Here is a 25584-nt window from a genome sequence, read left to right on the forward strand (position 1 = left end):
CTAGTTTTTTCTGTTTTGTTTTGTTTGAGACAGGGTCTTACTCTGTTACACAGCTAGAGTGCAGTGGCACAATCATAGCTCACTGTAGTCTCGAAATCCTGGGCTCAACCAATCTTCCTTCCTCAGCCTCCCAAGTAAGGACTACAGGCATGTGCCACTGTGCTAGTCCATTTTTGCATAGCTATAAAGAAACACCTAAGGCTGGGTAGTTTATAAAGAAAATTGATTTATTTTGGCTCATGGTTCTGCAACTATACAGGAAGCATGGTGCTGGTATCCGCTTCTGGTGAGCCCTCATGAAGCTTATAATCATGGTAGAGGGTGAAGGAGGAAGCAGTGTATCACATGGTGAGAATGGGAACAAGAGAGACAGCAGGGAAGTGCCATACTCTTTTAAGCAACCACATCTCATGTGAACTCACTCATTACTGTGAGGATGGCACCAAGCCATTCATGAGGGATCTGCCCACATGATCCAAGCACCTCCTACTGGCCACACCTCCAACACTGGGGATTACAATTCAGATTTGGAGGGGACAGACATCCAAACCATTAACCGCCACACCTAAAGTTTGTTTGTTTGTTTTTTAACTTGTTCTCTTTGGAGTTTCTCTGAGGTTGTTGAGTCTGTGCTACGAAGTCTTCCATTATTTTCAGAAAATTCCAAATCATTATGTCTTCAAGTACTTCTTCTGCTCTGTTCCTTCTTTCTTCTTTTGGGACTCCAGTTACATGTATGTTAAACTATTTTCTATTTTTCCACATTTTTTCAATGTTCTGCTCTGAACACTGAACTACCCCACTCTTTTTTTCGTTGTGTTTCAGTTTTGATAAAGTCTGTTGACCTATCTTCAAGGTTACAATCTTTCCTCGGCTTTCCAGGTTACTGCTGAGCTCATCAAATACATTTTTTATCTTGGATATTCTATTTTATTTACTAGCATGTTAATGTAACTCTTTCTTATAGTTTCCATTTCTCTGCTGAAATTCCCCATCTGTTCAAACATGTTGCCCATCATTTCCAACAGAGTTTTAAAATATTTATCATGGCTATTTTAAATTTCCTATCTGAAAATTCTAACATCTAGGCTTAATGTCTAGGCTGCATCTGAGTCTGGATCTGTTGATTACTTTATTTCTTGGGAGTAGGTTGTTTCTTATTCTTTTTGAGTGTGTCTTGTGATTTTTGATTAATGTTGAGCATCATAGGTAGAGGAACAGTAGAGCTTGAGGCATAATGTTATGCCTGGACATGCCACTATTTTTGTTATGCAGTTAATATGTAAGGAGGGGTGGGTGTTCAGTCAGTCTAGTCAGGAGCTGAGCTTAGTTTGTTTTCTTCTAGTTATTATTATCTTCAGTGGGATTAGTTTGTTCTCATGCTGCTAGGAAGAACTGCCCAAGACAGGGTAATTTATAAAAGAAAGAGGTCTAATTGACTCACAGTTCTGCATGGCTGGGGAGGCCTCAGGAAACATATAATCCTGGTGGAAGGGGAAGCCAATACATCCTTCTTCACATGGCAGCAGGAGAGAGAAATGCCAAGCAAAGGGGGAAAAAGACCCTTATGAAACTATCAGATCTCATGAGAACACACTCACTGTCATGAGAACAGTGTGGGGGAACTGCCCCCATGATCTAATCACCTGACATGAGGTCCTGTCCCCAACACATGGGGATTACAATTCAAGATAAGATTCTGAGTGAGGACACAGGCAAACCGTATCATTCCACCCCAGTCCCTCCCAAATCTCATGTCCTCACATTTCAAAACACAATCATTCCCTTGCAACAGTAGTCCCTCAAATTCTTAACTCATTCCAGCGTTAACCCAAAAGTCAAAGTCCACAGTCTCATCTGAGACAAGGCAAGTTCCTTCTGCCTATGAGCCTGTAAAATCAAAAGCAAGTTAGTTACTCCCTAGATACAATCTGGGTACAGGCATTGGGTAAATACACCCATTCCAAATGGGAGACATTGGCCAAAACAAAGGGGCTACAGGCCCCATGAGAGTTCAAAATTCAATAGGGCAGTGATTAAACCATAAAACTCCAAAATGATCTCCTTTGACTCTATGTCTCACATTCAGGTCACACTGATGCAAGAAGTGGTCTCCTTTGGCCTTGGGCAGCTCTGCACCTGTGACTTTGCAGGGTACAGCTCCCTCCCAGCTGCCTTCACAGGCTGGCATTGAGTGCTTGTGGCTTTTACAGGCACACAGTGCAAGCTGTCAGCGGATCTACCATTCTGGGGTCTGGAAGCTCCACTAGGCAGTGCCCCAGTGGGGACTCTGTGTGTGGGCTCTGACCCTAGATTTCCCTTTCACACTGCCCTAGCAGAAGTTCTCCATGAGGGCTCTGCCCCTGCAGCAAACTTCTGCCTGGACATTCAGGTGTTTTTGTACATCCTCTGATCCTCTAGGTGGAGGTTTCCAAACCTCAGTTCTTGACTTCTGTGCACCCACAGGCTCAACACCCCATGGAAACCACCAAGGCTTTCACCCTCTGAAGTAATGACCTGAGCTGTACCTTGGCCCCTTTTAGCCACAGCTGGAGTGAAGCAGCTGGGATGCAGGCATCATGTCCTGAGGCTGCACAGAGCGTGGGGGGACCCTGGGCCCTGCTCACAAAACCATTTTTCCTTGCTAGGCCTCTGAGCCTGTGATGAAAGGGGCTGCTGTGAAGGTCTCTGACATGGCCTGGAGACATTTTCCCCATTGTCTTGGTGATTAACATTTGCCTCCTCGTTACTTATGCAAATTTCTGCAGCAAGCTTGAGTTTCTCCCCAGAAAATGGGTTTTTCTTTTCTATTGCATGGTCAGGCTGCACATTTTCCAAACTTTTATGCTCTGCTTCCTCATGAATGCTTTTCTGCTTAGAAATTTCTTCTGCCAAATACCCTAAATCATCTCTCTCAAGTTCAAAGTTCCACAAATCTCTAGGGCAGGGGCAAAAAGCTGCCTCTCAGTCTCTTTGCTAAAGCATAGCAAGAGTGACCTTTACTCCAGTTCCCAAAAAGTTCCTCGTCTCCGTCTGAGACCACCTTAGCCTAGAGTTCATTGTCTATATCACTGTCAGGATTTTGGTCAAAGCCATTCAACAAGTCTCTAGGAGGTTCCAAACTTTCCACATTTTCCTGTCTTCTTCTGAGCCCTCCAAACTGTTCCAACCTCTGCCTGTTATCCAGTTCCAAAGTCGCTTCCACATTTTCATAACTTTACAGCAGTGCCCTACTCCTGGTACCAATTTACTGTATTAGTCCGTTCTCACACTGCTATGAAAAACTGCCTGAGACTAGGTAATTTATAAAGGAAAGAGCTTTAATTAACTCACAGTTCTGCATGGCTGGGGAGGTCTCAGGAAACTTACAATCATGGTGGAATAGGAACCAAACATGTCCTTCACATGACAGCAGGAGAGAGAAGTGCCAAGTGAAGGGGGAAAAAGCCCCTTATAAAATCATCATATCTCATGAGAACTCACTCACTATCATAAGAACAGCATGGGGGAACTTCCCCCATGATCTAATCACATCCCATGAGGTTTCACCTCTAACATATGGGGATTACAATTTGGATTACAAATCAAGATGAGATTTTGAGTGGGGATACAGCCAAAGCATATCAAGTGCACCACACGCTTCCAATCCCGTCAGCAGTGGACTGTTACTATGTTCTTTCATTAGAGTGGGATGAGGGGGATGCAAGAGGTTTTTGTTTTTGTTTTTTTTTTTTCTGTTCTCCCTCAGCTTTCAACTATTCTTGGCTGCCTGTGCTCCAGGGGGGCATCTCTATCCATACTCTTGTTCCTCTTCCAGGACTAGACTGATGTTGCTTATTACTCAATGTTAGGCTCATAACAGCATCCAGCCTCAGTCTTTGGCAAGTCCTAGGCATCTTGGCTTCATAATTAAAGATTTCCAGCACCATACCTGCCTGGCAGGCAAACCCTATCTTGGTTGTTCTGAGGAAGGAAGGAATTTCCTTTTTCTCTCCCTTCAGAGTAGCAGACTTTGTTTGGTATTGGTACAGGATCCTTACCCTTCCCCCAGGAAATACGGTGTTTGCCTCTACTTCTCCTCTAGCAGCAATTGATCTTTGCCTTTGTCCTGAGGTTGAGATAATTTCCTACACCTCTACAAGAAGCAGGTGGATTTTGTTTCTATTTCTCCATAGAACCAATAGGTATATGCCTATATTCTAGGGAAGATAGTTTACCTTCTTCAGTGGCTTAATGTGTCTGCTTAAAGGATAGAAATCTCTGGGAAAATGAGTGGGGTTTGTGCCTATTCCCAAGCAGAAATCACTTCCTAAACTCCTTTACCACCAGAGGAACTTCCAGTCTTCTGTTCTGACCTGATCTTTCTTGTGAATACCTGATGAAGGCTCATGGATAACAGCTTGCAAGTAGGTGTGTGCTCCCCTGTTCCAAACTGACACCCTAGCCCTAACTTGGTGTTAAAAATTTTATTAAAATTTTAGTTGATTTATTCTTACCTACCTTAAGCCACCTCTTTCTCTTGTGCTTTGACTGAGGTGAAACAGTCAACATGCCCTGTCTCCCCTGGTCAGGGGGGCTTTCCCATCTTTGTAATTTAATCAATTTGTGACCTCAGCTTTCTTGTTGGCTCAAGAAAAGTAATGATTTTGTAGATTATCTGGATTTTCTCATTTTTAGAGTAAGAGTGATTTTCTTTGAGCTTCTTACATTTTACATGAAAGTTCAAGTTTCCACCATTGTCTTAGTCTAAGTTTCAGAAATGGCTCACATTTCTACTCATGACCCAGTGAAAAGGGCCCAGTCACATGGTCATGCCTAATTGCAAAGGATTCTGGGAAATATAGTCTAGTCATGTGTCCTAGAATAAGTAAAGAAGAGATTTCAGTGAATACCCAGCAGCCTCAGTCCCCAGGCTCCAAACAAGTGAAATCTAAAATAACTCTGTGGCTGGGCACTGTGGCTCATGCCTATAATCTCAGCAATTTAGGAAGCTGAGGCAGGAGGCTTGCTTGAGCCCAAGAGTTTGGGACCAGCCTAGGCAACATAACAAGACTGCATCTCTACAAGAAAAAAAAAAAAAAAAAAGCCAGGTGGGGTGGCATGTCCCTGCAGTTCCAACTACTTAGTAGGCTGAGGTAGGCTGAGGTGGGAGGATCACTTGAGCCTGGGAAGTGAAGGCTGCAGTAAGCTGTGATATTGCCACTGCACTCCCAGCAGATAGAGACCCTGTCTCAAAAACAAAAACAAAACAAAACAAAAATGATTCTGGGCTTGGAGCAATTATGAATCACTGGCTCCATCCTTGGTGTTAGCCCTGTTGAGATGGTAAGAAATCTGAAGAGAACAAGGTGCTTTGGGCACCTCTGAGTTGGCTGTGGCTGAAACAAAAGTGAGTGGTCAGTTCCTTTGGCCACCTTCCTGAGGTGACGGCTGGTTCTCTACTGTATCTCTCCCCCTCCCATACCCACAAGGCTGTCTGCCTGCAGAGTTATAGCCTTCTCCCTTCAGGGAAAATGGCTGGGACCAGATGAAAGATCGAATAAAGTCAACTTATTTCTCCTTGGCCTGAACTACCTAAGTCCTCCCTAGGAAGACTGGGAACTATTTCAGTGATTCTCCAGTCAAGTTGTGAATTGCACCAAAGCACCGCATGAATAATGGCATATAAGTTCTGGGGATTATTAGAGGTCTTAGGGGGCTTGGAGCTGCCTCTTGGGCTTAAGAAATCTGAAGTCCCTTAGAAACTGACATGTTCACAGTGTATACAATAATCAGGAAGGTGACTGAGTGTGATAAGAGCCCAGAGGAAGTTGGAATGACTAAGTCTGCCTAGGATATCTGAAGAGGCTTCACAGAGGAAAAAGCACTGGAGCTGCAGTTTGAAGGATGAGTGAGGGCCTGGGGATAGCCAGATAGGAGACAAGTGGGTAGAAGACATAGAGTCATGAAAGGCCCTGCTGTGTTTGGTGGGTGGTGAGAGGGCTCTTGTGGTCCTGGCCTAGGTGATATGGAGAGGATGGGTGAGTATACAAGCTAAGGCAGCTGGATTCAGTTCTAGGAAGAGCCAGGTGTAGTTATGTGGTACAGCATATTTTGATCAGATTTCTTTGAGGAAAAGACTATGAACAGATTTCAGATATAGACTACCTTGTTTTTTTGAATCTCCCAGAAGCAGACCCTGAGATGAGGAATTGAGCAGGTAGTTCTCATTTGGAACTGAAGCTGAAGGGGTGGCAATACAGTTTGGATGTTTGTCCCCTCCAAATCTCAGATTGAAATGTAATCCCCAGTGTTGGAGGTGGGGCCTGGTGGGAGGTGTTTGGATCACGGGGGTGGAGCCGTCATGAATATCTTGGTGCTGTCCTCATGGTAATGAGTACATTCTTGCTCTGAGTTCATGTGAGATCTGGTTGTTTAAAAGCGCATGGCACCTCCTCCTCACTGTCTTGCTCACGCTCTCTTGTTCTCTCTCTCACCACATGATGGGTCTGCTCCCGCTTTGCCTTCTGCCTTGAATTAAAGTTCCCTGAGGCTTCACCAGAAACCGAGCAGATGCTGGTGCCATGCTTTGTGACCAGCCTGCAGAACTGTGAGCCAATTAAACCTCTTTTCATTATAAATTATCCAGCCTCAGGTATTCCTTTATGGTGATGCAAAATAAACTAACACAGGTGGCCACTTTCTCAGTCCTGCTGTCCTCATGTGGAAAGCAGAGTCTGGAGAAAGCAGAGGTGGAGACAAAGACAAACTGTACAAATGCAAGGAAAGCATCTGCTTGGATGTGGCATAGCTTACGTGCACTCACAATCCATTAGCCAAAGCCAGTCCCATTACCAAGGCCAGAGTCACTGGGACAGGAAGGACTATCAGCCTACATAGGAGTGCATGGTAAAAGTAGGGGAAGGAACCAACAATTGTGAACAATAGTACAATCTACCAAGTTCATATGCTGGCTATGCAGGAGGTGTTCAGTTTGTGTCAGGATGAGTTTAACCTAATAGAAGCAAGCAGCATACAATTAAGGGCCAAGTGCAGTTCTTTAGACAGAGCGAAGATCAAATTTGAGTCAATGAAACAGTGTATACTCTGGTTCTCCTTTTTGCTTGTATCTCAGAGACTTGAGACCACTTTGGCATAAACTGGATGCATGTTTCCCCTTACTCTCAAGACCAGAAGATGACATCTGTCAATGACACAGTGGTCTTCATCTGAACAAGACAGTGACCTTAGAAGACAAACAGTACCCTGCCAAAATGGATGGCATAAGCTCAGCCATCTGAAACCCCAACATCTAGTTTTACCATCCTGCCTTCAGGGTTGCCTGGCTTCTGGCCATTAGCCCAGTAAGCAGCAGGTAAACTCAGTGCTTGAGCTGAGAGTTTGTCCTGAGCCTCTCTGGGAAGTGACAGCTCCTAAAGAGAGATATACTTAGGCATATTACTGGCTTATGGCCATTGCAGGCAACTGGTAAAACTTACCAGGAGCATCTTCTGTGCTAAAATCTTCACCATTGGTCTCTTTGGTGTTGAACTTTGCAGCCTTGATTCCCTGCTTGGCTGAGGTTGGAGCAACTGCATACATATTTTCTAAAAAAAAGTCTAGGACTGACTGGTAAAATGTATGGGGCTTTCTAGAGAGATGTGGATTTGTGGAGACTGATTTTTCACAAGAGGATGCCACCAGGTTCTTAGCTCTGTTGGTTCTGCAAACTGATACCCCAGGTCTTTGCCAGAGAACTCACCCTTAAACCCTCTCAGGCTAGTTCTCTCCTACCTAAGTGAGAGAATAGGGTGAACGTGCCCTTTTCCTCATTCAGCAAAAGGCCCTAGAATGGCAGCTGTGGCCCTGCCTCCTGCTATGATCCAGCTTACTCCTGTGTTAGACTGGGGCTTGAAGCTAAGCCCCAGCTTTTCACTCAGCTGCACTTCATTTTTATTCCTTGAGAGATAATTGAAACCACAGCAGGAGCACTGAAGCCAGTTTCCCTAGGTTCAAATCCCAGCTTCGTGGGTTACTAGCCATGTTATCTTAGGTAAGTTCTTTGATTGTGCCTCACTTCCCTCATCTGTAAAATGGAGATAATTATATTATCAACCTCATGGGTGGAAGAATTAAATAAGTTACTATGTGTGGTTTGTTTGGAGCAGTGCACAGAATACAGGGTAAGTGCTACGTAAGGGCTAACTAGGGTGGCAAGGATGGGTTGGTGATACTGAGGGCATTGGCCGTGACACCACAAGTCCCTTCCCCTACCCTTGCCATAAATTTTCTTTGGGGCATTTATCTTAGGCCCCGATTCAGACAAAGTTGTGGTTCTCTTGAGCACCAACCTGTCTTTTTAGCTCATGGACACTGTTACGGTTTGGCTGTTTCCCTACACAAATCTCATGTTGAATTCCCATGTGTTGTGGGAGGGACGTGGGAAGTAAGGTCTTCCCCGTGCTGTTCTCATGATAGTGAGTAAGTCTCATGAGATCTGATAGTATGAGGAGGAGTTTTCCTGCACAAGCTCTCTCTTTGCCTACTGCCATCCATGTAAGACATGACTTGCTCCTCCTTGCTTTCTACTATGGTTGTGAGGCTTCCCAGCCACGTGGAACTGTAAGTCCAATTAAACCTCTTTTTTTTTTTAAAAAAAAATTGCCCAGTCTCAGGTATGTCTTTATCAGCAGTGTGAAAACAGACTAATACAGACCCCGAGACTCATGTTTCTATCTTTGTTTTAGGTACTAAAATGAGCATTTCAGGCAAAATTACCCATTTGTAGAGGGCTTTCTGGGATAGGTTCTGTATCCACATTGCTCCTACTTCAAATCCTTGAAGCCATCCTTGATTCCTCTGTTTCTTTCATGCTCAACAACAAATCCTGGTGTTTCTATCTTCAAAGTGTGTCCTGGTTCTGACCACTTTTCATCAGCTTTGCACCATATACTCCTTTCTACAGGACTAATGGTCAACTGCTTAGTTAGGTCCCTGATTCTGCCCTGGCTCCAGCATCTATCATCCGTATAACAACCAGTGTAGCCTTTAAAAATATAAGGTAATTCATAGCACACCTTTGTTTTCAGCCCTCCAATCACCTTGAGAAAAAACCTGAAGTCCTTATAATAGTTTACAAGGCTCACCGTGATTTGACTGTGCACCCCATCTGTATTAGTCAGTTTTCATGCCGCTGATAATGTCATAGCTGAGACTGGGCAATTTACAAAAGAAAGAGGTTTAATTGGACTTACAGTTCCATGTGGCTGGGGAAGCCTCACAATCATGGTGGAAGGCAATGAGGAGGAAGTCATGTCTTACATAGATGGCAGCAGGCAAAGAGAGGGAGTTTGTGCAGGGGAACTCCTCTTTTTGAAACCATCAGATCTCATGAGACTTATTCACTGTCATGAGAATGGAAAAGACTTGCCCCCGTGATTCAATTACCTCCCACCCGGTCCCTCCCACAACACCTAGGAATTCAAGAAGGGATTTGGGTAGGGACACAGCAAAATGATATCACCATCTCTCTGTCCATGCTTGCCCATGGCTTGCCCTCTGTTCCAGCCATGTCAGCCTCCTTGCTGCCCCTCTAATACACTGCATGGCCAGGGCTTTCCCCTTGCTGGGCCTTCTCCCTGGGATGCTCCCCTCACCAGAGATATTGGCATGACTTCCCCACTCCCTGTCTTCATCCAGTCCTTTGCTTAAATGTAACTACATTCAAAGACCTTCCTTGACTACCTTTTCTAAAACAGCAACCATTCTCCCACTCTGGCATTCCAGAGTCACCTTCTTTTACTTTATTTTTTCTCCTCAGAACTTACCACAATCTTTCATAAATTTATTTTGCCTTTCCCCACTAGAATGAAAGCTCCTTTGGGCCAAGAACTTTGTCTGTCTTGGTTACTCCAGTGCCTGGAAAGGTGCTCAGCACATAGTAGGGGCTTGATGAGGAGTCACTAAAGAAATAAGAGAATGGGTGGAATCTTTATTTTACTAGTTCGTCCTAATCTTCCCTTCCCTGCTTTCACAAAGGCTTGGAAGCAGTGTATACAAATATATATGTTGGCTGGGTGTGGTGGCTCACGCCTGTAATCCCAGCACTTTGGGAGGCCGAGGGAGGTGGATCACCTGAGGTCAGGAGTTCAAGACTAGCCTGGCCAACATGGTGAAACACTGTCTCTACTAAAAGTACAAAAAACTAGCCGAGCATGGTGGTACACATCTGTACACCCAGCTACTTGGGTGGGTGAGGCAGGAGAATTGCTTGAACCCAGGAAGCAGAGGTTGCAGTGAGCCAAGCTCATGCCATTGCACTCCAGCCTGGGCAGCAGAGTGAGATTCTGTCTCAAAAAAAAAACAAAAGCCAATAAATACATATGTTAAACCAGGGCAAAAATAAATGTAGAGATAAAGGTAGAGAATGAAGAAGCCTTCTGAAGTGCCTCCTGGTTGCTTAGTGGAAGACTATGTGGAGGATAGAGACATGGCTGTCAGCAGGGAGGTCTATGTTCTATCATTGTTTAGGATATTTTAGTAACCAGCCTGCTCTTCTCCTACTCCCACCCCACCCCTGATCCCCTACCCCACCCCCTACCTCCACAGGTGCCTGTGGATGAATGAGAGTTTGCTGCAGGAAGAAAGAGGTCCCTGAGGTGGGGATAAGCATTTTTAATCACTTTTCTTCTTTTCCCCTATTTGAGAACTCCAAGAGCTGCACATATATGCTTACTTCCTTAGAAGAATAGAATTAACCGGCGGGAGTAGAGATACCCCCCACCAACGATGTTGTTAAAGACGTTTCTTTTTGGAAAGGTGCTCTGGGTCCTGGAAAGGTGCTCTGGGTCATACATCTTGAGTTGTGAGCCTATTGTGACAACAAACTTGAGGATACGGTTTGCTATGTTCAGTCTCAGTGGTACATGTCTTCCCCCCTGCTTCCAGTGCTGCACATATGCAGCTGTATGAGGCAAAGCTCCTGCTCCAGCTGTTTGCCAGTGCTTTCCCCTAGGATCTTGGACAATAATCAGGACACAATCTGTTGCTCTCTTCCCCTGTCCCAGACACGTGTGCCAATATTACGGCTGGACTCTCCATAGGAGACTTGCCGTTCTTGAATCTGGCCCGTGCCCTTCAGAAAGCTACAGCGAGTCACTTCCAAGCATCCTAGGCAAGGGAGAGCAGAAAATCTGATGCAGACCATTTTGCTGTTTGCGCTAGGAAAACAGAAGACACAAAGCTAGTCAAATGAATCAATTCTGAGACAGACAACAGAGTGAGACCCTGGGCTGGGTTATTTTAGAGACACAACTTTTTCCTTGGAGCTTTTAGCAGAAGAGATTTGAAGATTTTCTTGAATGACTTTGTCTCTCTGGGGGCACTTAGAGAAAGCATTCAACTTCCAGAACCTTCTGCAAAGTAGCCTTTGTGTCTGAAGGAGGGTGCCTTGCCAATGGCTGGGCTTAGTGATGCCTTCAGGGACCTAGTGTATGGATCTGTGGATCCAACTCATCATGATAACATGTGAGGAGGGAAAATGCTTCCATAAGTAGAACCTGCTATCAGTGACTGTACTCTGGCCCTCTGCTTCTATGTGCCTCCTAAACAAATATATTTTCTCTATAAATATCATTCACTGTACCAGCTTTGTGTTCAGGACACATTTTCCTGAACCCATTCCCATCTTCCTCTGTACCCTTGCCACCAAATCACTATATTCATGAAAAGAAGAATCCAGTGGGGAAAAAAAAGATTTTTTTTTTTTTTTTTTTTTTTGACACAGGGTCTTACTCTGTCATCCAGGTTGGAATGCAGTGGTGCCATCAGGGCTCACTGCAGCCTCTACCTCCCTGGGCTCAGGTGATCCTCCCTCCTCAGCCTACTGGGTAGCTGGGACCACAGGTGCACACCACCATGCTGACTAACTTTTGCATGTTGTCCACAGTAGTCTTGAACTCCTGAGCTCAAGTGATCCACATACCTGGGCCTCCCAAAGTGCTGGGATTACAGACATGAGCCACCATTCCTGGCTGAGATCTGGTCTTAACAATGTGGGGTAACTTGTGAGCTGAGGAAATAGTAAAAGCATTTTAGGAACTACCTCTTGTAATTACTCACATTCTAAAATTTTAAAACAAAAACTGCTACTAGCTGATGCTGTTAGCTAATTGTCAGACAACAGACAAACACACTGCAGCCAGAAAAATCCCCACTGAGTTTGGGCAGCTGATTTCTCTGGCATCAAATGAAAGCTTTAGCTATTGCCCCTGAGGCCTGGCTGAGCAAGCCCTGCACCCGAGCCCTCCCTCTGTGTGCCCCCCCTTCCCCACCACTATGGGCCGGAGCGGGTGTTAAGTGTGTGTGTGTGTGTGTGTTGGGGGGATGGGGGTTGAGAAGAATGCAGGCACCCTAGCTCACAATCTTAGGCAGCTACACACCCCACTCAGGACACCACACCAGCATGATTCATCCCACACCTCACAGCCAGGGTGAACTCGGCCTCAATGGACAACAATTTGGAGGCATTGTTTACAAATTAATTTCCCCCTCTAAATAGGCTGTTATAAGAGTGGACCCTTCTGCTTGCCTAGCCTAGGCCCACCTGTCACTGGGACTTCCTAACCAGTGGTCACACTGTATTGATCTTTTTAATCCCCTCTCTTTGAAACACAGAGCCAGCTGATGTGGAGTTCCTCAAAAGAAAGACTCTCCCACTGCCCCTACCTCAACAGGTAGCTGCGGATCCGGGGCTAATTCCCTACTAAAAAGTCTTAATTGGCTTATGGGGAGCCTGAAAGATCTCCCTTGTGTTTACAAGGTGAAAGGAATGATAGATCCCAAATGCCCTAGTCTGTCTTTATCCATTTCTTGGTGGAAATCAGGTGCGTTTTATTTTTTAATTGTTTTTGAAACAGGAACAGAGGCTTTGGAGGTGAGTGGGATAGTGTTTCACTTTAGTGGTTGAGCCAGCAGGGAAAAGCAAGAAAAGCCCCAGAGACACTAATATTAGGCAAGAAACTTGGCGACTTATTTTTAGTTTTTATTTACATGAAGCGTCTGCAGTACAAAAATGTAAACTTTGATAGCTCATAATAGAATAAACTCTTTATGTACAAAAATACATTTTCATATGAATGAAGCATCTTGAATAAATTAAAGTACTCTCCAGCCCTGTGCCTGAATAGCTAAGCAAGAGTCTCCAGTTCTTCCTAGAGCGAGTCTGCAGTGGTGGGGGTCGGGATCCATAATGCATGAAGCCCACTCCTTGTCTCTGCTTTTTAAGCCTTTTCATTGTATTGTCAGCCGGCTCAAACCGAATTTTCATGCTCGTTTTTCTTCATTAGAGTTCTACAAATTGTAAAATTGACTTTTCACCTCGTCTTCAGGGGCTGATCTGTCCCTTTTCTAAATCACACTGAAGTGGTGGCTGGGGTCAGTTCTGAGCCAGTCACAAAGGAGGTTTTGTGGAGTTCAGAAAGTGCAAAAGGAAAGGCCGTCTAGGGGCGGGCAGGAGGGGCGCTGGGCTGAGGGCCGGAGAAACAGACCAAGAGACATCCGCCGCGAGGGTGCGGCGACCTAACAAGCGGCTCAGGTATCCCCGACTGCTTTAAAGCTCCCGCTTCCTCCCTCCGCCTGGAGAGGGGGTCCCGAGGCGGCAGCTGGGGCCCCATCTATTGCCTGCTGACTAGGGGAGGGGGAAAGTAACAGTGTCTACAAAGGGCCTAGTGGTAAGGAATGAAACAGGGCGTTGTGTGGAGCAAGTCTTTGGGCAGGCTTGGGAAGGAGAAAACAGGGTCGCCGGGGCGGTAGGTGAAGTCTTCGGAGGCGGCTGGGCTACTGGGGTCAGAGAGCGGGGAGGCGGCGGCGGCACCTGAGCCCCAGGACTCCGCGTCGCTGGCGGGGCTTGGGGGACCGGGCAGGCAGGGGACGCACTGCGGCGGCAGGAGGCGCTCCCGGGCACCGCCTCCGGGCAGCCCTTGATCCGCCAGGCGCAGTGTCTCGGCCAGAGCCCAGATGTAGTTGTAGGCGAAGCGCAGCGTCTCGATTTTGGTGAGCTTGGTGTCGTCGGGGAACGAGGGCAGCACGCTGCGCAGTGCGTCCAGGGCCGCGTTCAAGTTGTGCATGCGGTTGCGCTCGCGATCGTTGGCCTTGACGCGCCGGCTCCTGCGCAGCGAGTGCAGCAGCGCCTCGGAGCGGACCCGCGTCCGGCCGCGGCGCCGCCGCCTCTCCTGCTCGTCGTCCTGTGCCCCTGGAACCTCAGACGCCCGGGAGATATTGGGCGCGCCCCTGCGGGCCGGCGCGGGCGGCCCCGAAGCGGAGGCTGCCTGTTGGAGTCTGGCACAGTCTTCCTCGTCGGTGAGGAAGCCGGATAGGTCACTGCCGCTGCTGCTGGCGCAGTCGAGGTCGGAGATGCAGGTCTCAAGGCGGGCTGGCATCGTTGCGCTGTGCAGGACCGACGGACAGATAGAAAGGCGCTCAGAGCGCTGCAGCCCGGACTGAGGGCAGAGCCGCCAGGGCGCACTTACGTTCCCAACAGCCTGGGGTTGTTACTCTGTGCCAGTTGCGGGTGCGAGAGCCTGGAAGGGTGCAGGGGCGCACGGAGAACTTGGCCTGGCCTCCTCGCCTCGCCTGCAGGGGCCACGCGCCCGGCCGGTCTCCTGAGTGATGTCGCCGGCGATCAGATCAGCTCGTGTGAGCACCGAGTGTGGCACACGACTGGCCTCAGGACCCCTTAAGTACCCGGCGCAACAATGGGCGCCCCCCTCCCTTGCCACCTCCGCCCCCGCGGCAGCCCGGGTGAATGGAGCGAGGCGGCAGGTCATCCCCGTGCAGCGCCCGGGTATTTGCATAATTTATGCTCGCGGGAGGCCGCCATCGCCCCTCCCCCAACCCGGAGTGTGCCCGTAATTACCGCCGGCCAATCGGCGGCGTCGCGCGGCCCCGGGAGTCGGCTCGGGCTAAGCTGGCCAGGGCGTCTCCAGGCAGTGAAACAGAGGCGGGGTCGGCGGGCGATTAGCGGCCGAGGCACGCTCCTCTTGGGGCGGGCTGGGCGCCCCTCGCTGGGGTGGGACGGGGAGGCGGGGCGCGAGCGCGAAAGTGTGAGCCGCCCAGTGAGTTGCGGAAACCTGGAGGGTACTTGGAGTTTGGGTTCGCATCCCCTCTCCAGCTGCTTAGTGGTCGCGTGACTTTGGACGAGTAATTTAACTTCCCTGAGCATTGCTTTCCCCACCTGTAAGATGAGACAAAAGTTTACCCTGTGGAGGATGATCAGATATAATGTTTGTGGAACACTAAATGTGCAGCATCCGCTGAACAGGGTGAAAATCATTTTCAAATAGACTGGAGAGTGGCCATGCCAGAGGCACAGGGCGCAGGGCAAGGATAAGTGTCGCTGCTCCGTTCAGGCTGATGAAGAAACGGGAAAGAATCTGACCTTCATCTGGGGAGTGCGAAGAGGAGAGTGGAAAAGAGGATCGGGTGATTTCCCAGGTTGCCTTGAGTCTTGGTCTCACCCTTCCCTTCTTTCCCTTCCCTTCTCCACCCTCCTCCGCACCTCTGCCCACAAGTCACCTCAAGATTCTTAATAAGAATTAATAATATGAGAATTTATATAAATAATAATATGAGAATATAATTATTAATATGAGAATTTCCTTTTCTTTGGCGTTCCTGAAACCTTGCCTGCCCCATGCCCGGAGAAATCCGTTGCACACCGTCTCTTGGAGCCCTGCTTGCAGCCTCTGTGGCCCTCTTCAGGGTGAGCCAGCCAGGGGATCCAGCTCCCCTGGCCCGAGAGAGAGCTGGCCCCTGGAGGGCAGCAGGTGACAGTGGAACCCCTTTCCTCCAAACCCCCTCCCGCCTTCGGTGTCTTAAACTCGCCTATTCCAGCAGGTCTTCCCTCTGCATGTCAGGAGTTACTTTTCTCTTGTCACCTACACTCACCCAGGAGCCACAGGGGCCCAGACATCACCCAACTTTGTACTTGGAGGATAAATAGTAAGGAACAGCACTCGATTATAGGATGAGGGTATTAAAAACAAAATGAGCAGCTTTCAGCAAAGTGCCTGCCCCCCACCTGATATCCAAGTGGTAGCCTCAGGCCGGATGCCTGGCCTGCTGCCATGGGAGCCTAGCTGACTCTTTGGGTTGGGGGGGGATTGGCCCCTTTGAGAAAGGGGGCTGTGTAGTGGCAGTTCCCACCTCGACTCACTGACCAGCGCTTGCCTTCTGGCTCAGGGGACTCTGCCCAGCTGTCCCCTTCCCCGACTGCACCCTGCAGGTACCCCTGATCTCAGTGGAAGGCTAGGACACAGTCATATATAAGGGCTCGAGATTTATTAGAAGTCACAGAAAGTGGCTTCGACCAGCTCACTCAGGAAAGGGCAGTTGTTGGATGGATACGGGGGCTTCTCAAGAACTCAAGGGCTTCGAGGACTTGTGTAAACCAGCAGGAGCCCAAGGGTCCTCTCTCTGCCCCCCACCTCTGTTTCTCTCCCTGTGTCAGCTTCCTTTCTTTGGACTGCCACAACAAAATTCCACAAACTAGGGGGTTTAAGGCAACAGAAGTTCATTCTCTTACAGTTCAAGAGGCCAGAAGTCTGTAAGCAAGTTTTTGGCAGGGATGGCTCCTTTTCGGAGGCTCTGAGAGAAAATCTGTGACATGCCTCTCTTGCAGCTTCTAGTGGTGGCTCCTGGCCATCTTGGCCATTCATTGATTGGCAGCTGTGTCACTCCAATCTCTGCCTCCTTTCTTCATGCGGCCTTCCTCTCTGTGTCTTCTCCTTCTCTGTCTCTTGTAAGGACACTTGTCATTTGATTTAGGGCCCAGCTAATCCAGGATGATTTAATCTTGCAACCCTTGCCTTCATTATATCTGCAAAGATGCTTATTCCAAATAAGGTCCCATTCTGAGATTCTGGGTGGACATATCTTATGGAGGCCCACTATTTCAACCCACTACAACAAATGGTTTTCCAAATTCCTGAATGAGAGAATTGGTTTGGCCAGTGTCACTTTTTTGGCTGACAGGTACGTGAAGAGCTTTCCTGTTGAGAAATTTGAATGCATGAGAACCCCTTCCCCATTCCTAGCAATTAGGGTGTGGCCAAAAGATTTTAGTACAGGCAGTTAGCTGCCCCATTTGCAATTTAGGCTCAGAGCTGGTGACAGTCTAGAGTTCACTTGTGTCATGGCAACAACCCGGGAGAGCCAGTGACCAGTGGTGGAAGAGGTGGCCAGGAACCAGTGGACATCCTGTCTGAACTCTTCCCAGGGCCAGCCCTTGTTCCATCTGTTTTTTGAGCCTGGTTCTCCAGCCTTCCCACTGATTGCATGAGCCCTCCCATAGCGGGCCTTTCGTTAGTGGGGCTTTTCTGCTTCAGATAGCCAGGATTAGTGTCTGCGGTTTCATAAATAAAACACCAAGTTAAATCCTCAGGTTGCTGAAGCATAGAGAATTATCCTTGTATTATTTTGAAGTAATCCATTGGCTATGTTGATTGCCTGTGCTGGGCCAGGCACTGTGCTGGACACTGGGGTGACAGGGGTGATAAACTTGGCTGATGGGTATCATGGGCTCTGAGTCTTGCAAGCCAGGGTTCAGTGCCAGCAGAACCTTTGGAAATTATTCATCTATCCACTGCACCTCATACATGGGAAACTGAGGTGGGAGATGGGGAGGTCTTTTTTCCAGGTTACCCCAGGGATCGCTGGTGGTCAAACTAGGCCAGACTCAAGAGTCCTTTCAGGCCCTACTCTATGTTCTTCCATCATAGTCAATCAACAAATATACATGGAGAACCTACTGCATGCTGCCCTGTGTCAGGTGCTCTGTGGAGTGTGAAGCAGGCCTATAGTCCTAAAGGAGAGGAGATGTAGCATTAGGACTAGAGAGGTGTCGAGGGCCTATTAAGGGAGCAGATCTGAAGAGCATTGTGCACCTCCCAAAGGGAAGGCTTCTTGGCAGAGGGGGGACTCGCGAAGGCCTTGAAGGATGGGTGGGATGCGAATAGACAATTTAAGGAAAGAGAGGACTGGGGGTTACTATAGTGGCTATGTGGGTGCTGGTCTGGAGGATAGGGCTTCTGGGTGAACCCAGTGGAAAGAGGGTAAGGGGGCAGTTATGGTGGCCCTTGAATGGCCAGGGCAGCCTTCCTTGTTCCATTCCATCTCCTCCTCTTGCTTCTTTCTCTGAGCAGGGCTGTTAAAATTGTTCTAGTCATTCACTGTACAAGGACATCTGGTAGAGGGGGCAAGTAAGGGCTGAAATCTAGCCTCTCTACCACCCGCCAAACCATGCACCCTGACATGGGCTACACCTGTTCAGAGAGGGCACCTTGTCAAATATGTCCAGACGCACCTTATGAGCTAGCAGTAGGTCTGTGCCTTCTCCTGCCATGCTTCACTCCCTTTCCTGAACCTTAGAGAGCTGAGCAGGCAAGCATCCAAGCCTTGCCCTGCCTGCTCCTGGCTCTTGGGCAGGGCATGTTGTGGCTCCTTCTTGGCTGTTAGTGCCTACCCCTTGTGCTTTTTATAAGTGCATCTGCAGGGGGCCCTCCTATAAGTGATCTACTGAGGATGGAACTGAGCCCTGGCAGGATGAGAATGAACGGGCAGCTTAAGAGGCCCAGAGCCTCTCCTCAAGAGAAAAAGGCCAGGCCACAGTTAGAAGGATGTGCATGCTTGCCAGGGAAGATGAAAGTTTCTCCTGCCCCTCGAAGCCTTCTAAGCATAGTACCTGAGTGTACCCTCATTCTCAGAGTATAATAGAAGGTGATGTGGGCATGTAATAAATCCAACCACAGCAGGCGCTGCTATGGTGAGCACCATACCAGGTGTTCTGCCTGATGTGTGGACATCCAGCTGCCAATCTGCTGGGGGGCAGGGGAGGGTAGCCAGATGTTCCAAGGTGGGGCAGATGTTCCAAGGGACTAAGGATTAAGCTGGAGCTTCTTACACTGTGGTTACCTGGGGTAGTAGTGATGGTGGGGGTCCCCACCCCGTACCCCTGGAATCAGAATCTCTGGAGCACATGCTAAAGTCACTATTGACTGATACCTAGAGCCAATTTATTCACACTAGAATCGATATTTTGCATTAGCAACCACCCTCCTATCCTGTGCTTGCCTCAGCTCTTGAAGCAGGTCAAGTACATTTATGTGACAGCTAAGATGAGCTCTAAGGGCATACCTGTTCCAGGCAGCCCTAGGGATCTGACTCAAGACTCTGGTGGGACCAGCAGGGATGTGATTTTACTTCATCATCAAGAAGGCCTTTCTGGCATCGACACACTGATGAAGAAACAGCTTTCTTGAGAGGTGAGAGGGAGGGACTCTCAGGGTGCAGCAAGGTGTTGGATGCTTCCAGGGTCTTGAGAGACTTGGTTTATTATTATTTTTTAAATAAAGGCCAAAATAGGGGAGAAATGGTGGTAAATTATAAAAGTTTACATATAATAAATCAATGTGGTTAACAAATAAAAATATAAAGGAGTCTGTGCTGTTCACAAGGCAATTTCAGGATTTTAAAGTGACCATCAAATTATAGTGCCTGTAGGCATAGAGATCCAGGGATGGATCCAGATTGGAATTTGTGACGGAGCATCTTCCTCTACCCTGTCAGTGTCTCAGTGACCATGTGTATGTCCTCGTTTGGAGTTAGAGTCCATAGCCTTCCAGCCCTTTTGTAAAAGCAAGGTTGAGCCAAATAGCCTCTCTGCTGGTTATCAGAAACACTTCAACCTGGGGTTAAGAGATGCTGTAACAGGAACTGGACTGGAAGGTTAGTGTCCTGTAATAACAAGTACTGAGATGATAATCTGAAGGGGCTGAGGGGAAGGGGACACTATCACATTTCATACTTTCCTTGCTAAATTGTTTTAGCTCAGATTGATTATTCTCCATCCCCTCCAGTTGGTTAGATAGAATATTAATTTCAAGAGTGCTGTGGCACTTCCATGTAGACCTGAGTTTTGTGGGGTTTCAAAGCAAAGTTGTTTTGTTTTTTACAGTACACATGAACTTGCAGATGCAGCTTATGACAGGAGACGGGAATGTTGTGGGCACCTTACTCAGCCACTCACGTATTGGGGACAGGGCAGTCAATGCACTGCACCGAGTTTGTAAGGCCACTGGGCAATGCTGATATCTACAGCGGCATCCTTGTTGGGGAATTTTACACAAAGTGAAGTTGTGGAGAGTTTTACACAAAGTGAAGTTGTGGAGAGGGCCACCCTTTATAACAAGACTGCTTGACTTCGATGATGATTTTCTTTCTGAAGCTATCTGGGGGGCATTTGTATTGGTTTTGTGGGTGGCATTTTAGAAAGAAAATGTGATCTTTATAGAAAAGAAGGAAGAAAAAGATGCAGTTCCTCAAGAGGAAGGGATGAATGATGAGGCTGGACACAGAGCTCGCAGGTTCCTTTCAGTGCATCAGATACACCCAAAGATATGCAGTTGGGTTTCCATATAAGAGAAGAAGGGTGGGGTTGGAAAAGAGAAACAATTCTCTATTTTCTTTACTGATGACCCATGACAGTTGTGGAAGGGGGGGCAAAAGAGAGGGGGGAAACGAGGCAGGAGGGGGGAAACAGAGGGGTCTTTCAGTGACAGAGCAAGGAAAATGGCAAATTATCCATGGTTTCTAGAAATCCGTGGAGGCCCCCTCGGCCCCTGCCCTGCTAAATACAGTGCCGTCTGTATGCATTTCCCAATTTGGAGATGTCGGCTTGAATATTGCTCAGCATTGTCTGCTGATGGGTTTGGTGGAGTGCAATCTGCCTACATGCGGGTTGAGTCCTGGGCTCCAGCGGAAGCTCTGGCACACATCTCCTTTATTCTGTGCTATGTCCAAAATGCCTCCCCAAATGACACTGGGCAATTCTGCAGCCAAACACATTATTTCCACAAGCATCTGTCAAGTTTGATTGGGGTTCTCTAGCCTGCACTGGTATGGGGGGACAGCATGTGCTTGGGTTGGCCAAGGTTTGAAGTGTGTTCGTGGTTAGGGCCAGTCTTGGGTGAAACAATGTCCTTTTTGTGCCCAAAGGCCAGTGGGGGAGGCGAGGGGGGTGTGCACACTTGTGCAGGGAGGGCCCACGAGGGAGGGTGCAGGCCCTGAAGAGGGGGTAGGTGGAGGTGATTGCCCCACCCTTCCTCAGCAGTGAGGCCTGCAGTCATTTTCACATCAGCTGCTAGAGGCTGCGAATCCTTCCAGACCCACCTTCAAAGCCTCTGAGTTTGGTTCTCTTAGAGTACTTGAAGTTAAATCTTCTGTGCTCAGATAAAAACAAAAACCCTAACCATAGCCCTGCTGTTGCTGTCACTAGGTTTAGCTCCCCAAATCCAGGCTGCACCTGCCACAGGAAGTTGCTAAAGCCAGGGTGAATTTTCCTGAGCAGTTTCATTTTTGCCAGCTTCATTTTTGAATTCTTGAGAAGGTCTTTACTAGAGATTATAAACACATTCCCACCCACCCCCCGGCCCTCCGCATCCCTGGATGCTTGTGGGTCAAGTGTGGGAAAACTGTGTGAGGGTGTTTTCTTCTGTGTGTACAAAAGAAGTCACAGTGAAATGTATCCTAATGGAATCTGACTATTGGTTTATGGAAAGAATTCAGAAATAAACACAAAAATTGCTAAGTGTTTTCTTTTTGCTTTTCTCTACCTTAACACTCAGCTACATAAATTCATGTTGGGTTCAAATACAAATGCATTTTGTTTGTAGTAATTAAAATGTTTTAATGAGACAACCATAAAATCCACCATTAATTATTTTATTTCAAACACTTCTGCCTTCTTTTGAACCAGGTCTATTTAGAAATAATTTAGAGAGTGGCCTGCAGTTTTATTCTTTCCTCTGCATTATACACAGGAGTGGAGAAGTCATTTATAAATAATTACACAATGTTTTGGGTCTTTGGGCTTGTATAATATATCAAAGCGATTAGTACACTTATTGTTCCATTGTAAAAGCTTTTTTTCTCCTTTCAGTTTCACTTGCCTTGTCTTCTAGCTAAACCTTTTTCTGGAAATCTTTTGTCTTCTTCATTCTTTTTGCTTGTTACAGTCCAGGAGCATTCTTCTTATTCAAACACTCGCAGCAGGGGCAAAGAAAGCGACTTCGGCCGCATCTTAAGTTTTACCATAACTTTCTGGCATTTTCTTTTCTTCCAGTTTTCCCAGACTACTTAGGGGCAGTGAAGAATTATAACATACATGAATTATTAGTACTCCCCTCGAGTTAAAGGGGGAGGAAAGCGCCTCATTTTCTATGCCCCCAAGGGACGGACCGAGCGGGCAGCCTCTAAACAATGTATTTATCACTTTGCATCTCTTTGGGACGCCGGCCGCGCCCCCACCCTTGCCGCCGCCGTCGCCGCCGCCACTTCGGTTTTGCTCTGGCTGGGGAGACCCGGCGTTTCTGGATTTCTTTTATGCAGCCACAAATAAAGGCTCCTAGGCTGGAAGAAGGGGATTTCCCCCCAAGTCTTGAGCAAACGACCCTAGCGCCGTGGCTCTTCCTACGGCGGGGGCCTCGGAGAACCCGGCGGGGCGCGCGGGGGGACGCGTGGGCACTGCCGCGTGGGCGCCCTGACCCCGCGCCCGCGTGGAGCGAGAGCCGGGACTCTGGGCCAGCAAGTTCCAGTTCCCCGATGGGGCCGGCTCGCCCGGAGCCGCGTGAGGGGATTAGGGCCGCACGAGAGGCGACCGCGCCGCGGCCTCCAGCCACGTGAGCACAGACACGGCTTCAAACGTCCCCAACGCACTAATCCTTGTTATCCGGCAGGATAACCGCGGCCGCGCCAGCACCCGGCCTGCCTCCTCCGTCTGGCTGCGGGCGGGGAGTGCGCCTGGCTCCCGAGCCCCTGACACGGATTTGGGGCCTGCAATGACGATCTACCCCACACCATCCACATTCCTGGGACCCTCGGGGCAAGGTCCTACAGTCCTTGGTGACCACCACGCCTGCAAAAAGCGGTGGGAAAGTTGTTACGCTTAGAAAACTACCAACACGCGCATGCCTGTAATCCCAGTTACTCGGGAGGCTGAGACAGGAGAATCGCTTGAACCCGGGAGGCGGAGGTTGCAGTGAGCCGAGATCGCGCCACTGCACTCTAGCCTGGGAAACAAGAGCGAAACTCCGTCTCAAAACAAAAACAAAAACAAAACCAAAACCAAAACAAAACAAAACAAAACCTGCCGCCGCTCCGGAAGAGCTGGGATGGAGAATAAGGATGAATTCTGGAGGGAAATCCGGCAAAACGGGCATTGGCACTAAAATAGGACATTCGTTAAGGAAACAACAAAGATGGCTGAAGAATGGAGTATGGCTGAAAAAAGCCCACTGGAGAGGTGCAGATAGTCCCCTCTGGGCGCCTTCCGAGGTTGGGAGGGCATTCTGGCCCCCGCCCCTCCCCGCCGCAATCTGTCGGGACCCGCCGGGTTTCCATATGAAGGGTCGAGCCGGCGCCTTGGGAGCGCTGAATGGCCGCTCGCGGTCCGGCGGGCGCGCACGCCCCGCGGCCCGGGCTGGATTTGGCCGCATTTGCATAGCAGGTGCTGATGCTTGTCCATTCTTACTTAAAGAAGTTTTAATATGGGATAAATTACCAGGAACTAGGAGCTGACGTGGGCGGGAAAAAAGGAATCGTGTCGCCAGCCAGTCTTCTTACCGCTGCCTGGCCTGGAAGGATAGGAGGGGCAAGGAGAGAAATGCGAAGTAAGATTCGATTTTAAAAGTCGTCACCTTAAGAAGCTACAGCCTCTCCCCCTATCGCCCCAAAAGGAGTAAAGAGAAGACAGGAGGGAACTTTAATCAATTTGATTTTAGAATCTGTTTTGCAGCGAGTAAAGCAGTAATCCCAGGGATAGTAATACGATTAACCAGAGATCTTTGAGTCAGAAAGTCTGGCCGAGTTTAAAATGTTAATCCAGGCCCTAATCCGCCCCGTTGGCGGGGGTGGAAGTGCTGCACCACAAGGAGAGATTGTGTTTTCTTCCCCTGCTCTTAAAGAAACATCCGCGAGGTCCGCACCGGCCCATTTCTAGATCAGGACGAATTCCTTCCCTGGAGTGCGCTCCCAGGGCTGGCGGCCTCAGGGCTACCGGGGGTCAGGGCGTGCTCTGGATAGGTTTCTCTCCCAGGGAAACCAGGCCCCTGTGGCTGCCTGGGGATGGCGGTGGCCTCCGGGTTAATTCCAAGTGTTTGGAATCTTGCAAAGGCTTGGAGCAAAATGGAGTTTCAAAGTGGTGGGATTTTGAAGAGATAGAGGCTGGGGTGGCTTTCACGGCCCTGCCCCCCAAATCCCCTTTAAACTGGACACATGCGTATCCTCAGGGACAATCTGGTTTTTAAGGTTTTCAGGGTCTTGGGGACTGGAGAAGGGGAATGGCAACCGCACACTCCAGCTGCCAGAGTGTGCATCTGCTTATTGGCTTCACGGGAGAAATGTCTGTAGTCTGGGGACCCCTGAGAAATCTCCAAATACTTGTGGCCCGCGAGGGGGCCAGGGTGAGGAGAGGTGGACTTAGCCTGAGCACTGCTATCCCAGGGTCTCCATACTAACATGCTGTCAGACTCATGGAGCCAACAGACCACCTGCTCTCTGAGGGGTCAAATACTGAGGCTCTTAATTCCTTTGCCCTCTGGCGCAGGACCCTTCCTCCTCCCCTCCTGGGCCCACACATTGCTTTTTAGGGTTCAGCCTTCTCTGGTCGCTGGTGGTTCCTCTCTTCTGGCCCAGTTTGACAACACTTTGGGGCGAGTTCGCACCTGGATCTTGCAGCAGGCCTCTAACTTGCCCCAAGTGCTTCCCAAGGCCTGCTTTCCCTGGAAGGCAGTGTGAGATGCCCAAATGGACCATATGGTTTAGAGCGAGAGCCTTGGAGCCTACAGACAATGGGAAAGTGAGAGGCCCAGGTCAGTGGCGGAGCTCGGAGCTCGAGAGGCTGCAAACCTCCCTTTCAGCCTAATGAAGCTGTTGTCTGGGGGTAATGATGCAAATGCCTGGGCCCTTTCTTGCCCGTGGTAGTCTAGAACGTGATTTGTCATACAATCTGAATCTTTGGGAGGACTTTAGACAGAACCTCCCCCAAAGATGGAGATGAGCCATATGTGCACTTTGCATCTGAAGTGGAGATGGGGGAGGGTGAAGAGGGGACCCCGCCCACTCCGACTTCCCTAAAGGACAGCGTTCTGGCTGGGGCCTGACAGCCAGGAGGACGAGGACGTAGACCTCGATAAGCCTAGGGCTGCCTGACCCTGGGGGCTCATGAGTGGGTGCAGAGCCACAACATCTAATCACAAATTAGCAGTGTGTGTTGGAAAAAAATGTATGCACAATCTGGATATGCTGAGTGGGGTGGTCGTTGCTGCCCCCTCATTCTTTGTACCCCATGCTGGGAGATGAGGACAGAGAAAAGGACATTCTGAATGAAATACTCCCTTAGTGACAATGCTTAGATTTCACTTCTTTGAGTGCCCCGCTGATGTTAACTGGGGCCTGGATGAACACTTTATGGAGTATTTCTGAAACAGAATTAGTAAAAGAGAAGCAGGGACCAGGTGACAGGCATCCAGGCCTGGGGAAGGTGGGGACAAA

At 48.6% G+C, this 25584-nt stretch overlaps 1 protein-coding gene across 1 annotated transcript, besides 6 other annotated features; it reads right to left on the reverse strand.

Annotated features, from left to right (window-relative positions):
* Positions 1–13008: 13008 nt before the first annotated feature.
* On the reverse strand, positions 13009–14691 carry NEUROG1 (neurogenin 1). The gene has a single exon (NM_006161.3). It carries the CDS (start codon positions 14415–14417, stop codon positions 13704–13706), a length of 714 nt encoding a protein of 237 aa, NP_006152.2. The 5' UTR covers positions 14418–14691; the 3' UTR covers positions 13009–13703.
* Positions 14266–14560: a silencer, noted in NCBI's record as "tiled region #242; HepG2 Repressive non-DNase unmatched - State 20:ReprD, and K562 Repressive non-DNase unmatched - State 10:DNaseD". NCBI's record gives its function as "represses a minimal TATA promoter and a strong SV40 promoter by Sharpr-MPRA in HepG2 and K562 cells {active_cell/tissue: HepG2 | K562}" and the evidence as "EXISTENCE:reporter gene assay evidence [ECO:0000049][PMID:27701403]".
* Positions 14678–15193: an enhancer, noted in NCBI's record as "OCT4-NANOG-H3K27ac-H3K4me1 hESC enhancer chr5:134871641-134872156 (GRCh37/hg19 assembly coordinates)". NCBI's record gives its function as "activates a minimal SCP1, AML or CMV promoter by ChIP-STARR-seq in naive and primed H9 embryonic stem cells {active_cell/tissue: H9 hESC(naive and primed)}" and the evidence as "EXISTENCE:reporter gene assay evidence [ECO:0000049][PMID:30033119]".
* Positions 20551–21052: an enhancer, noted in NCBI's record as "H3K4me1 hESC enhancer chr5:134877514-134878015 (GRCh37/hg19 assembly coordinates)". NCBI's record gives its function as "activates a minimal SCP1, AML or CMV promoter by ChIP-STARR-seq in primed H9 embryonic stem cells {active_cell/tissue: H9 hESC(primed)}" and the evidence as "EXISTENCE:reporter gene assay evidence [ECO:0000049][PMID:30033119]".
* Positions 21745–22636: an enhancer, noted in NCBI's record as "NANOG-H3K27ac-H3K4me1 hESC enhancer chr5:134878708-134879599 (GRCh37/hg19 assembly coordinates)". NCBI's record gives its function as "activates a minimal SCP1, AML or CMV promoter by ChIP-STARR-seq in primed H9 embryonic stem cells {active_cell/tissue: H9 hESC(primed)}" and the evidence as "EXISTENCE:reporter gene assay evidence [ECO:0000049][PMID:30033119]".
* Positions 22637–23527: an enhancer, noted in NCBI's record as "H3K27ac-H3K4me1 hESC enhancer chr5:134879600-134880490 (GRCh37/hg19 assembly coordinates)". NCBI's record gives its function as "activates a minimal SCP1, AML or CMV promoter by ChIP-STARR-seq in primed H9 embryonic stem cells {active_cell/tissue: H9 hESC(primed)}" and the evidence as "EXISTENCE:reporter gene assay evidence [ECO:0000049][PMID:30033119]".
* Positions 23528–24419: an enhancer, noted in NCBI's record as "H3K4me1 hESC enhancer chr5:134880491-134881382 (GRCh37/hg19 assembly coordinates)". NCBI's record gives its function as "activates a minimal SCP1, AML or CMV promoter by ChIP-STARR-seq in naive H9 embryonic stem cells {active_cell/tissue: H9 hESC(naive)}" and the evidence as "EXISTENCE:reporter gene assay evidence [ECO:0000049][PMID:30033119]".

Source organism: Homo sapiens, chromosome 5, assembly GCF_000001405.40.
Source record: "Homo sapiens chromosome 5, GRCh38.p14 Primary Assembly".
In the NCBI taxonomy this organism is placed as follows: domain Eukaryota; kingdom Metazoa; phylum Chordata; class Mammalia; order Primates; family Hominidae; genus Homo; species Homo sapiens.

What these genes read in the sequence shown, in the direction of transcription:
- NEUROG1 (NM_006161.3), bottom strand. Translation starts at nt 14,417, where the DNA reads ATGCCAGCCCGCCTTGAGACCTGCATCTCCGACCTCGACTGCGCCAGC.